The sequence below is a fragment of the Homo sapiens genome, chromosome 12 (assembly GCF_000001405.40).
Source record: "Homo sapiens chromosome 12, GRCh38.p14 Primary Assembly".
Classification (NCBI taxonomy): domain Eukaryota; kingdom Metazoa; phylum Chordata; class Mammalia; order Primates; family Hominidae; genus Homo; species Homo sapiens.
Window position 1 is genome coordinate 69465576 of NC_000012.12, and position 13530 is coordinate 69479105.

The 13530-nt window shown below is 41.2% G+C and overlaps 1 protein-coding gene across 14 annotated transcripts in view, besides 3 other annotated features; it reads left to right on the top strand.

The window, feature by feature from the left end:
• Positions 1200-1813: an enhancer, noted in NCBI's record as "OCT4-NANOG-H3K4me1 hESC enhancer chr12:69860555-69861168 (GRCh37/hg19 assembly coordinates)". NCBI's record gives its function as "activates a minimal SCP1, AML or CMV promoter by ChIP-STARR-seq in primed H9 embryonic stem cells {active_cell/tissue: H9 hESC(primed)}" and the evidence as "EXISTENCE:reporter gene assay evidence [ECO:0000049][PMID:30033119]".
• Positions 4484-4985: an enhancer, noted in NCBI's record as "H3K27ac hESC enhancer chr12:69863839-69864340 (GRCh37/hg19 assembly coordinates)". NCBI's record gives its function as "activates a minimal SCP1, AML or CMV promoter by ChIP-STARR-seq in primed H9 embryonic stem cells {active_cell/tissue: H9 hESC(primed)}" and the evidence as "EXISTENCE:reporter gene assay evidence [ECO:0000049][PMID:30033119]".
• The window catches only part of FRS2 (fibroblast growth factor receptor substrate 2), a 109406-nt gene continuing 100688 nt past the window's right edge, over positions 4813-13530 (top strand). For 12 of the 14 annotated variants that reach the window (NM_001042555.3, XM_017018718.2, NM_001278355.2 and 9 more), the window contains exon 1: positions 4813-4955. The gene's annotated coding sequence lies outside the window, so the exon portion shown is untranslated. Of the gene's footprint in view, positions 4956-5113; positions 5132-5217; positions 8634-13530 lie in introns of those variants that run through there. The other 2 variants (XM_047428122.1, XM_047428119.1) reach the window with 2 other exon arrangements.
• Positions 5157-5206: an enhancer, noted in NCBI's record as "active region_6651". NCBI's record gives its function as "activates an Ori minimal core promoter by ATAC-STARR-seq in GM12878 lymphoblastoid cells {active_cell/tissue: GM12878}" and the evidence as "EXISTENCE:reporter gene assay evidence [ECO:0000049][PMID:35858748]".

Sequence of the window (13530 nt, forward strand, 5' to 3'; positions counted from 1 at the left end):
CACATAGAAAAGGATCAATAAATATTAGTTTAGTGGTTATGAGTGTGTCTCTGGGGACAGACTGCTTGGATTCTAATCCTGACCTCATCATTTGCTAGCTACCTGAACTAGCTTTGCTTGTGTCTCCATCCAGGAAAAAATAAATTAAAAAAATATATATATACCCTATAGGGTCGTTTGTCATCAAATCTATTTAAGTAATTGCTATTATTCATTTTTTGTCTTTCCAAGGCTGTTGACAAATAACATTAGCTACAACTCCATTAAAACGTTGGTGGTAATGATATTTATAATTTGATGTCTGCACTTGCCTTGCTTGTTTAGAAATGGTACAACGTGGCCAGGCATGGTGGCTTACACCTGTAATCCCAGCACTTTGGGAGGCTGAGGCGGGCATATCACCTGAAGTCAGAAGTTCTAGACCAGCCTGGCCCAACATGGTGAAACCCGGTCTCTACTAAAAATACAAAAATTAACCGGGCATGGTAGTGGGCACCTGTAATCCCAGCTACTCGGGAGACTGAGGCAGGAGAATCACTTGAACTTGAGAGGCGGAGGTTGCGGTGAGCTGAGATCGTGCCACTGCACTCCAGGCTGGGTGACAGAATGAAACTCTGTCTCAAAAAAAAAAAAAAAAAAGTACAGTGTAGTACCCCACAATTGCTATCCCAGAAAAACAATTTAAAATTACCTCAAAATACATTGAATAGTTATGAGCACATGTAAAATATATAAGGCAAAATTCTATACTTGTTTCTTTAAAACATCCATATGATGTTTTGGGACCAGTGGTCCCAAACTCTGTCTACCATAAAGATACCACATGTGGGTAAGGCCAACTCATTGCACTGTTTGATGAAGAGAGATGCTGCATCTAGCTAAAGTCACTGATGCCTTGTGGATGCATGCCAGATGTCTGCCAGAGTGTTTAAATTTTCAAGGGATGCCAGAAATTGGGATTTTTTTTTACATGACATTTCTCAATTTTAAAATTTTGACTCAATTTATTTCATGGTACAAAACTCTCTGGATCAAACAATACATTTGTCAAATCTTTGCCATAAATATTTACACTAATACATATGTACTAGTTACACTGTGCTGTTATTCAAAGCAAATGTTTTTGAGGCATGAATAAAAGATGAGGAAGACAAAATATAAAAAGGTCTTCAGAAACTCACAAGTCTAGTGGGGAGATAGGCAACAATGTCACAGAAAAGAGTGAAAAGTGTCACAGTAGAGTGTGGAAGTTAGAACTTAAGCTGTGTGGTTAGGATCAGATCTGCATTAAACCAACAAACAAAATCAAAGAACCCCATTATTTCAAAGCTTGGCAAAGGGTGGACACCCAAGTAGATGGCTCTTTTGTTTAACAAAACACCTTAATGGATTTTGGGGGTAGGAGCTATGCATAGACAGGGCCACAGCCTTGCACAGTTCCAGGGGGCATCATTTGTGTTTGTCACCTCTTGAGCATCATTCATGTTGTATTCTTTGTGAATAGCACCCCCTGGAATTGCACAACATGGTAATTGTGTCAATAAAGGTGGCCTGGAGTCTGGCCTGAGATGAGGATTGAGAGTTAAATCCTTCTACATAATAAAGTAAAAGGAATTTTAAGTCTTTCCTAGTGGGTAGAGGCAGGCGGGTAGAGGGATGCCTGGAATGGACAGAAGAAAAGGGTTAGGAGAAAAGACATCTCTAAGATGAGGATGGGCCAGCAATTTGGCAACAACCTGGAGCCGAATGAGCCTGGTGAGAGATTGCTTGTAATTTTTGCAAGAGATGCATACAATCCTCTGTCATCTTCTACCTCCAGGAGACACTGGTAAATGAAGTCAAACAACTTTTTCTTTGGCACTCTTCTTTATGAATCAGGAGATAATTGGGAAAGACTTCACCGTCCAGAATCACACAGCAACACTTGCCTAAACATACAATGCCTTAATAACTTGCCTTTTTACTGTTTTTCTTTAAAAAGCTGAAAGTGCTTACACTTTCATTTCCTCATTTGTTCTGACATTCCAGTGTGGGTGGGGCAGATTTATGATAACATTATTTATAGATGGAGAAATCGAAATAGAGATTAAATCGCTTAATCAATGTTGCATAGCTGGGGCAGTGGAGCCCACAGTGGAATTTGGTTCTCCAGGCTCCAGCCACGAAGTGGAAAGAACATGAGTTTTGGAATTAGAGGGATCTTTGCACAATCCTGATTCTGCCCCTTAACAAGAATGTGGCCTTAAGTCAATTACTTCACCTAAGTCTCAGTTATCCTCATCTCTAAAATTAAGACCATAAAACCTCATAGCAATGTAGTGAAGATTAATTTAGAAAACGCGTGTAAAGCCTTGGCATAGAGTAATTCCCAAATAATATTAGTTCCACCCCCAACCCAGTATTATCTGGTTACATTTCAGTACAAATTTAAAGTAATCAAAATGAATCCTCCATTATAGTAATTTTTTTTCTAGCCTCATCTTCTTTCACTGAGAGCAAAACATGAATAAAAATCCTTCAATAGGTCATTTAATTCAACGGCAAGAACTTTTGCTCCGGTAAGAGTTATCCCTGTTGGAAAAAATTAGAAAAAAAGAGGAATATGTGGAAGACAAGATATTAGTTCTTAATATCTTATGCAGTGGTTCTTAAACTTGACAGTATATCAGAATCTCCTGGAGGGCCTGTTAAAACACAGATTGCTGGGTCCCACCCCAGAGCTTCTGATTCATAAGATCTGGGGCGGGACCCAGTAATGTGCATCTGTAACAAGTTCACAGATGATGTTGAGAGGCTTAGTCCAGGGACTTCTAGGGGTGGGGCCCAGCAATCTGTTTTAACAAGCCCTTTAGGTGGTTCTGATGCACTCTCAAATTTGAGAACCACTGGGATAGTGGTGAAAAGCATCTGAGAATATGGTCTGCAAATTCAAACCCAGGCGGCTCCATTTACCAGTTAGATGACCAGATTAAATGACTAACCTCTAGCACCTCTGCATCCCACACAGAGCCTGATAATATCTGTGATTCAGGATTCCTCTCACTATCCCTTTAGGCCTTGAGTAAAAAGAGATGTCGGTGAGTCCTGCCAACCCACGCTGTTTTTTACTTCTTCACACTCTGAGGCACAAAAGGCTGCTTGAATTTGAGTATTACGGAAGTATTTGCCAACACTTCTGCGATCACAAAAATAAAGTAAGAAAGCCCTGTAAATAAAGCCAAGAGCAGTGGCATTGTTTGCATCTTAAATTTGTAATAATGGGTTTTCAACTTTTTTCCTTTCCCCTGCCTTTCATAGTAGAAACATTTAAAAATCTTCCCCGCCACCCCCCCCCCCCCCAGTTTCAAGAGATGTTAGTACATTTGTTTTGCAGATAGTATGCATTGCTAAGAGGCTTTTTTTTCTTTCCCTGCATCCCAGATACAGAATCTGCCTCAGATATCTGGTGCCTTTCTGATTTTGTGGCTGAGGAATCCCACGCCCTCCTCCTTTCCATCCCTTTTCCCTGTCTGGTATGTAACTCTGTGGGTCCTCATATTATCACTGCATGGAGCTTCACAAGCACCTGTATTTTTCCAGTTGTAAAAACCCCTACTCTTTCTTTTTTTTTTTTTTTTTTTTTTTGAGACGGAGTCTCGCTCTGTCGCCCAGGCCGGACTGCGGACTGCAGTGGCGCAATCTCGGCTCACTGCAAGCTCCGCTTCCCGGGTTCACGCCATTCTCCTGCCTCAGCCTCCCGAGTAGCTGGGACTACAGGCGCCCGCCACCGCGCCCGGCTAATTTTTTGTATTTTTAGTAGAGACGGGGTTTCACCTTGTTAGCCAGGATGGTCTCGATCTCCTGACCTCATGATCCACCCGCCTCGGCCTCCCAAAGTGCTGGGATTACAGGCGTGAGCCACCGCGCCCGGCCAACCCCTACTCTTTCTTATTTCCTTAACTAATCTTTTCTATTGCCTATTGCTGATGAGGTATAAGAATCGTTAACTTTTATCCAATGCCAGACATTCTGAAATGTTTATCATGCATTATCATTTTGGATTCCTACAATGCAGAGATGATTTTATAACTTGCCAGGGTGAAAAAATAAAAGTAAATAAAAGGAGACAAGCAAAAAGATTCCAGATCCCCACCCCAACCCCCCCAACCCCCCAACCCCAGCTCTCGCCTCTGTTGAAGTCACCAGTGATGACAGAATATAGGAATATAGTTTGAGCCCTGTTTTTAAATAATTTCAAAATCTTGGTATAGGTAGATGAGATTTATACACACGTGAATTAAAATCAACCAACATTTGTGAGATTGGGTTTGGTATCTTTGACCGTTTTTCTCCCCTGCAAGACGTAGATAATAGCACCAACCCCAAGGAGTTTGGGGATGATTAAATAAGTTAATGCACCCGAAGGGACTTAATACAGTGCCTACCACGTAGTAAGCGTTCAATAAATGTTAACTATTATCATTATTTTTTAAAGGAGGCAGATTGGAGCGTAGAGTACACTGAAGGGAGTCGGGAGGCCGGGTGTAGGCACTGGATTCTTGCACCTAATTCTCCGAGCCTCGGTTTCCTTATTTGTAAAATTAGCTGGCTGGAGTAAAACAACTCAAACAGCAGTTAAAGCAAAGGGTGCAGCAGTAGCCGGGGAATCGAGGAGGCGCGGGGCGGAAAGGGTTAGTTAGGAGCCCAGAGGCTGATCTGTGGGCGCCCGGCGAGAGAGGCCCCGCCCCGCCCTGGAGGCCCTGGCAGCTCCGGGCTGAGAGCAGTTCCGGTGCCAAAACCCTTCCCTCCCCCGCTCCCCCGGAAGTGCTTTTCCAAGATTCGGGCCGGAGAGAGGCCTTGTAGGCACAGCGGCTGAGACTCGATCTGCTCCAAGTAGGGGCTCCAGCGCGGGTCGGAGTCTGGGGGTTCGCGCCCGCCGACCCGCGCCCTGCTCCCTCTCAGCACCTGGGCGGACGGTGAGTGGCTAGGGAAACGGACTGGGACGGCCGCGGGCCCGCGTCGGAGCTGGCGTTCTCGTGCCCCCGCTGCCCGCTTCGGGATCCGGGCTGAGGGCTCGGCTGCCGGCGTCCGGGGAAGGGGATTGTCGACCGCCGCGGACTTCTCCGGGCCAGCGGGACGGGAAGAGCTGGCTGTGGGTCCATGGGGTGGGCGGGGCGGAGCCAGGGAGGGGGTTCCCAGAGCTGTTGTTGCTGTTGGGACTCGAGAGTGGGGATGGGCTGGGCCTCTGTTCGTCCGTCCGACCCCCCTCATGTGTGCTGCCCCAAACCTCGCCGCTCCCTAGTTTGGTATTCTGTGTCCGGCCTGGGGTAGTAGCTGGACACCAGACTCAATCTTGGGCTCCAGTTCCCGACTTTTCGCCTCCTCTGGGTCTGTCCTGGGGTCAGTAATTAACCCGGGTCCCAGGGGTGTCGTCTTTTCCCTCCAGGGTGGGGCGCTGCCTGTACATGCCAGGGATCTTTTGCAGGGCTTTTCATCCAGATTTGCTTCAGGGTTGTCCGGGATCGATTTGGACTGGGCTCGGAACCGGTCCTGGATACGTAGGTCGCTGTGGCACCAGCATGCTCTGTATCATCTTTACTCACTTGAAAGCTTGCTGAAGCTGTTGTTGAAGTAAACTTAAAGAAAAAACTTGCTTAAGGAAAATCAGTAGTTTAGACACCCCCTCCCCCGCCTTTTTTTGCAGACATACTAAAAAAAAAAAGATGCTTTTCTCTAATCTACACTCTTAATTCTTTTGGCTATCTGATGTCACAGTTGTATGATGAGTTCATTCAGAGGCTGTACGAATTGATTTTAAAGAGTTGGACAGTTATATCCTTTCTCCCAAAGTTTGTTTACCTTCATATTTGGAACTGTCATTTTTCTTAAGGAAAAATTGTTCTTGGATTTTCTTGAGAGATTCCTTACACTGTTAAAATTGTTGCTGCAATGCAGAGTTTCACACAGGTGGGCAGAGATGTTTTGTTTAAACTTATTCCATGAAGTGTTTACTTCGGATAAACTGAGGATTTCCTAGGGGAGAAAGTGATGTAGGTAGGTTTAGTGAACAGATTTTAGGTAGTAAACTTTACTGCTGAAAGGTTTGTAGGAAATATGGGTTTTCCACAATAAATGGTGATTTAAAAACTTTTTATAAGGGAATGCAGTTACTGCAGATTATTGCTATTAGCAGATGGCCACTGTTTTTGCAGCGTAAAGTATTCACAAATCACCTTCTTGAAACCAGTGACGCTATCTGCAACTCTCATCTTGTGTGTAGATTAGGGTTTATTCTGTAGTTTTTTGGGTACTTATGTCATTCTCTTTCCTCCCACCCCTGAAAGGGGAGGTGGTATCATGAATCAGGAAAAATAGACTGAAGTGACAAGTTCAGTGAGCTTTTCCTATGCAAAGGAAAATTTATTTCAAGGTTGTTGATTTTGAACAGGCAAAGGGTAGATGATTTTTAAAGTCCTTGGAAAAAATTGTGGAGAGATTAGCTGCACAACTTTTCTTTTTCCTCTTCCTTTCTTTTCTTTTTTCTTTCTTTTCGAGACAGCCTCATTCTGCTGCCCAGGCTGCAGCACAGTGGCCCCATCATAGCTCACTGCAGCCTCCAACTCCTGGACTCAAGCAGTCCTTCTGTCTCAGACTCCTGAGTGGCTAGGACTATAGGCACCAACCACCACACCTGGCTAATTTTTTTTTTTTTTTTTTTTGTAGAGCCGAGGTTTCACTATGTTGCCCAGGCTGGTCTTGAACTCCTGGGCTCAAGTGATCCTCCCATCTCGGCCTTCCAAAGTGCTGGGATTACAGTTGTGAGCCACCATCCCCAGCATATTTGCACAACTTTTAAATTTAGATAGAAACTGTAGCTTCTTCCACATGTGAAGTACTTAATTATTTAGAGCATAAGATTGGAATATTGGAATTGAGAGAATCTGGAAAAATAGTTAAGTTAGATGTAGTTACAGATTTGCAGGTATGACAATGTATTTTTAAGGGAAATACTTCAAGAGTTTTAAGAGCAGAGAAAGGTGATTGGGGAAAATCAGATACTGATTGTATTTTTATATTATACAAGTCAATTCAACAAACACTGAGCATTTGCTATGCATGTTATGCTATGTTATGCATAGCATGCTATTTGCTATGCTATGTTAGGTAACTATGTAAGGAGCAAATAAAGGTATAGCCATAACAGTTGAGTTTCATGTTTTGGTAATAATTTCTGAAATCATGAAGAGTTGAGTTGTATTCTTTAGGCATACTAACAATTTTTTTTGTAATTGGGACTTAACATTGGCGATGGGTGTTGAGTGCTTCATGAAAAGCGCTATACTAGGCATTTTAGGATATAAAGATTAAACTTTTGGTTTTTAGGAATTTGAAATCTAGAAGGGGATATAAGATTTGTGTAAACATTTACAACATAAACATTTGTAAATACTTATGGGTGGTTTGAGGTAAAGTTTGGAGTAAATTATACAAAAGAAGAAAGGGTTCATTTTTAGCTTAAGTAATGGAAATTTGTGGAGATAGCTCAGAAGCTACTGTTTATTGAGCATTTACTGAACAGACTTAATGCTAGTTGCTGTTTACAGCATTTTCTTAGCTTCACAGCAATATGTAAGTACCTTAATAATGAGGACAGTGAGGCTCAAATATGTTAAGTTACTTGCCTGGGCTATGTGGCTAGCATGTAACAGCCCCAATTTGAATCCAAATCTGTCTGGTGCCAAAGCCTGTGTGTTTCTACTGCATCATGTTGCTCCCCAATAAACTGGTAACCTGAGTTTAATGTTACAGAGAATAAGACTTTTCTAAGACAAAGATTTATGGATTGGGAGTAGGTGGGTGAAGAAGGCCTTTCAAATAAAGAGAATGATGTGAGCAGAAGTGTGGAGGTGGGAAAGTTCATTGTGTACTTGGAGAAAAGTTAGTGGACCAGATTACCTGGAATATACTGTTCATTTTTGGGAATTAGAGATGAGGTTTGAATTTTAAGTGGGGGCAGGATTGTGGAGCATGTTTAAGTGCTGCTTTTAGAAGTTTGACATTTGGGGAAAAAAAGTTCGACGTTTGGGAGGTAATGAGAAGTTACCAAGGTCTAATAGAGTAGTGTGCAGAATGATTTGATGTGGAAAGCTGACTTTCAATGTAGTATAAATACTGGGCAAGGGCAGTGGTAATGGAATTAGAGTGAAGGCTCTGCAGGACCTCAATGTCGTAGGTGGGTGGCGAGGAGGAGGGGTTTTTGGAGCAGGTTTGGAGGAGATGGAAGGTGAAGATTACACTTTTGTTTTTGAGACAGAGTCTAGCTTTGTTGCCAGGCTGGAGTGCGGTGGCGTGATCTTGGCTCACTGCAACCTCCGCCTCCTGGGTTCAAGTGATTGTCCTGCTTCATCTTCCCGAATAGCTGGGACTACAGGTGCTCACCACCACGCCCAGCTAACTTTTGTATTTTTAGTAGAGACGGGGTTTCACCATGTTGACCAGGATGGTCTCGATCTCTTGACCTCGTGATCCGCCTGCCTCAGCCTCCCAAAGTGCTGGGATTACAGGTGTGAGCCACTGCGCCCAGCTGAAGATTACACTTTTTAAGTGTCGGAGATGTTGACGGTGGTACTCTTACTAGAAATACGGGCAAGGAGGTACGTAATGAGATCAGTTTTGGATTTGTTGACTTTTTTGTATACTTGCCAAACGCTGGAAATGTCCAAAGGCTTTTGGAAATGTGGATTTGTGGTTAAGGGGAGAGGTCAGGACTAGGCATATATTAAACATGGGTTTAGTGAATAATACAAATAGGTGTACTGGTTGAATCTGTGTAAGAAGATGAAAGTGCCAAGGGAGAATGTAGAGGGGAAAGAAAAAAAAAACTTCTGTTTTAAATGGCATCTGTTTAAAACAGAAGGAAATATGCTAAGTGATTTATTTTATGCAGTGGGTAAAGAATTTGATAGTATGTCCACTGCTTCTTCACACTGTAGGTTCACACGGAGTAGAAAGAATCTGATCATTAAAAATCCAATTGGGAAATACAGTTTTCTTGCCCTGGGTAGCAAGAATACTATGCTATCTTTACCCTGTTTCAGGGAGGACAAACTACTTCAGACTCATTTCATCCAGAGTGTCAGATTTGGTTACTTAAAAGCTATGTTAGCTTGTTTCTTTTGGACATTTGTTTGGCAAGTGGTATGTGAGGAGTTGGAAGCAAATCTCTGATACAGTATTTCACTTATTTATGTGTATGACATCGATTTTGGTTTCAAAATCAAGAACCTCTGAATATTCAAAGATAATATTTACATCTCATTAAGGCTGTTAATATTGCTTTTTATAGAAAATGGCATTTGATTACATATTTTTCTTCCAACTCTATTTTATAAGTTCTTTTGATTAACATGATTAGTTTTGGCTTATAATGTTTGGATTATATTAGAGGGATAGAATAAGATACTTTTATCCATTATATGATAACACATATGAAAGTTACATATTTTATTTTGGAAACTGTTTAAGAACTGTAAATTTATAGAATTTTGTGTGGTTTTCTGTTTAGGTATTTAAATAGGGGGAACTTGAGTATTAATGTGTAAAAGATTATAATAGTTTGCAGAATGAGGCTTAGAGTTGTAACTTTTTGAGGGCAAGTTTATTATTTTTAGACTGAGTTACCATGGAAGTGTTTATTTCCTTCTTGAGAATTAATACATTCCTTTTGTTTTTCAGGAATATGTTTTCCACTATATCACAGGCACTTGGGAATGTCGAAAGAGTCCTGTGTCAGTGTTGTTGGAGGCAGGGGGTTTTGTGTGTGCTTTGTCTGGGCTGTTTGGCTTAGTTTCAGTAAGCCTGGTATTAATGAGGCAAAGGTCAGGAGTTCCATTTAGCTTCAGTCTAAATGATGGCCAGGGAGTACACCCCTCACTCCCTCCAGCTGTCTTGGAAATTCCTTGGTTGTCATTGGTCACAAAGGTGACTAGATGAGGGTGGATTGTTATACCACTGGAAGAATATTAGAGGAAACTTAGGATAATGGCTGGGACCTCTGACTCTAGAATTAGATAGACCCGTGTCAAAATCCTTGGTATTCAACCTTGGGAGAGTCCCTAAACTTCTCTAAGCTTACATTTCCTCATTATTGAATAGGTTAATATTTGGTTTGGGCATTACGTATCATCACTTTCCTTTTCTCAGTGGGAGCTAGCCACTTAAGCTTGTGGCTCCCGAAGTGCTGGACTGTGGAGTAGTGTCAGTTCATGACAGAGTTTTCCTTTGAGTGAAAGGAGAATGTAGTTGGCTTCTTTAAAGCTAAATCTATTGATATGTTTTTCTAAAATTATCTTTTGCCATTTTCGATGGGCGCTTAGTTCTTTTATGAAATAGTGGTGATGGGTAATCGGTAGTTTTTGTTTTTGTTTTTTAAATGTCCTTGGCAGAATAAAAGTTGGCAGCCCTATGCTGGTCACCCTCTCCTTCCTCGTGCCCCTTTTTAAAGATTATGGTTCTGTGAAATCCGAAAATCTTGGCTTAAACAGAATCTGAGGGATTGGAGGAGACTATTCATCCACATATTTATGCATATTAAAGAAGGTTTGGGGTACATTCTGCCCTTGTGTTAGCCTACAGAGGACGTATTGTGATTCTCGCCACCATTGAATTTAATTTTGTCAAGATTCACAGTCAATACTTATAACATATTTCAAGGAGCAGTTCAGACTGTTTTCAGTTGAGTTCACACAAGTAGCTCTAAATTACTTGTTTAAGACTGTGTTTCTCAACCAGAGCCTCTGGAGAAAACTGTTGAACTGTGGGCGCTGCCTGGGGGTGCTGCTTTAAGTTATTACTCTGTTGATTAGCCAACAAGATAAATAACTCGCCTTTGACATAGTGAAGCAGCAGAAATTGGCTTTCCATTTCACTTCTTCTGCAGGAAAGATAGAGCAAGAAAAGCCTTTTTATTAATACAGCAAGTAAACCTTGTACAAATATCAGTATTCAAAATGCTTTCTAGAGAAAGAATAGTGCAGCACTGTGCGTAATGGGTTATGTAAGTGGAGTCACAGAAGTCCTCCTGGGGACACAAACCAATTATGAACATAAGTGCTTATTGAAATTGCATCAGTTGTCTAGATGAGGAGCTTATTGACTCCCTGGTTCACTTGGGTGGGCAGGCGGCTGTGGGGGAGGGACGGGGGGGGGTGTGGGGGTGGGGAACTTAAGGTGCAAACCTAGCCTAGGTGACTGTTAAATTAAGGCTTAACATTTGTTTCTTTTGAGTGTTTTTGGTTGCGTAATTTTAAAAGTTGGGAATGCTATAGAAATATTTAAATTCTATTAGAATGTCCAAGGCAAAATGTTCAGGTTAAGTAGAAATAGCTTGGACCCTCTGTTAATTTTAAAGAAAACTGTGGGTTTGCTGCTTTAGATATTAAAATGATATGGGTTTATAGAGTTATGTTGTGTATCATTGTTGCTGGTAAATAAAAAATGTTTAATTCATTTATTTTAACAGTGCTTAAATTTTTCTCTTAAAGTACTCCCAATGGCAGAAATGTGGATGAATAGTACCCTCAGAAGTCTAGGAATGCAGCCCAAAGTGTGCCTGCTATAAATTGAAGTTTTTGATGCCTGTAGGGTTTTATATTTTAAAATTTATATAAATGTTGCATTTTGCTATCTTACATGCATGTCGACAGTATTTTAAAATACTTTTTTTTTTTTTTTTTTTTTGGTTTGAGACGGAGTCTCGCTGTGTCCCCCAGGTTGGAGTGCAGTGGCGCGATCTCAGCTCACTGCAAGCTCCGCCTCTCCTGGGTTCACGCCATTCTCCTGCCTCAGCCTCACCAGTAGCTGGGACTACAGGCGCCCGCCAACACGCCTGGCTAATTTTTTGTATTTTTAGTAGAAACGGGGTTTCACCGTGTTAGCCAAGATGGTCTCAATCTCCTGACCTCGTGATCTGCCTGCCTCGGCCTCCCAAAGTGCTGGGATTACAGGCGTGAGCCACCGCGCCCGGCCTAAAATACTCTTAACTAAAATTGATGCTCCTAAGAGAGAGTGCAGTGTTCATCCTGCGGCTTTTTATATCCCTATGACATGGCTTTATCACTGGTTAGTAGTACTGTGCTTAAATATTTAATAGTAGCTTATTTATTTATTTATTTATTTATTTATTTATTTATTTATTTATTTTTTGAGACAGAGTCTCGCTCTGTTGCCCAGGCTGGAGTGCAGTGGCATGATCCTGGCTCACTGCAAGCTCCGCCTTCTGGGTTCACGCCATTCTCCTGCCTCAGCCTCCCGAATAGCTGGGACTACAGGCGCCCACCACCACGCCCGGCTAATTTTTTGTATTTTTTAGTAGAGACGGGGTTTCACCATGTTAGCCAGGATGGTCTCAATCTCCTGACCTTGTGATCCGCCCACCTCGGCCTCCCAAAGTGCTGGAATTACAGGTGTGAGCCACCGCGCCCGGCTGTTTATTTATTTTTAAACCCTGTGTCTGATGGTTTTTGTTGGAACATAGGAGATGGTAAACAATTTCTGATACTTCCTATGTATTTTTAATAAATAGCAAGCTGTTTTAAATACTACTAAGAAGCTGTAGTTTCATAGAAATAAAATGACTTTTAAGGGGGATTTAATCCGTTAAAATTTTTTTTTCTATTTAAGATTTTAAAATTATCAATGTATTTCTATCATAATAAAATATGGTAGTACTAAGAGCTTTCTGAAATGATGGAAATGTTCTATGTCTATGCTGTTCAATATGGTGGCCCCTATATAGCTTCTGAGCACTTAAAATATATCTAGTGTTATAGGAGAACTAAATTTTTAATTGAATTTAATTTTAATTAATTTAAATATGAATACCCACATGGGGCTGGTGGCTACTGTATTAGTGCAGCTCTATAAGGTTAGGAAGACGAGAGAGAAGAGAGATCACACATCTTCATGACACCTCTCACCTCACATGTAGGCAGATTAGGCACTCAGTAAGTATTTGTTGAATGAAATAATTCATCTTTTTCTTTGAATTTTGAAGACCAGTGTTTGTGAAGTATTCTAAATTTTTGGGGAGGAGCCATAGATTTTTGAATTTTTTTCTTCTATATTGATTTTCAGAATTTACTTTTATTCTTACAAAGACATACATCATTATGTGTGTGTGTGTGTGTGTGTGTGTGTGTGTGTGTGTGTAAAGAATTATATAATGAACTACCATGTATGACCAACCACTTTAAAAAACAGAACACTGCCAGCACCTTTGATGGCCGTTCATGTTTCTCACTACTTGTGATCTCTGACATACTCTTTAAGTAACCGCCATCTGAATTTTATATTAATCATTACCTTGCTTTTTGTTTTAATTTTATATGAATGTCTTTTTTTTTTTTTTAACATTTCCCTCTGTCTTGAAGTTTGGAAGTTAAACTCTGTGTAGCTTTATTTTAGTTCTCCCTGACCTCCAACAAATGAGATACTTTTGTTTTAAACACTGTTACTTTGATTTGCCTATACACTGTATTTGCAGATGTCTGC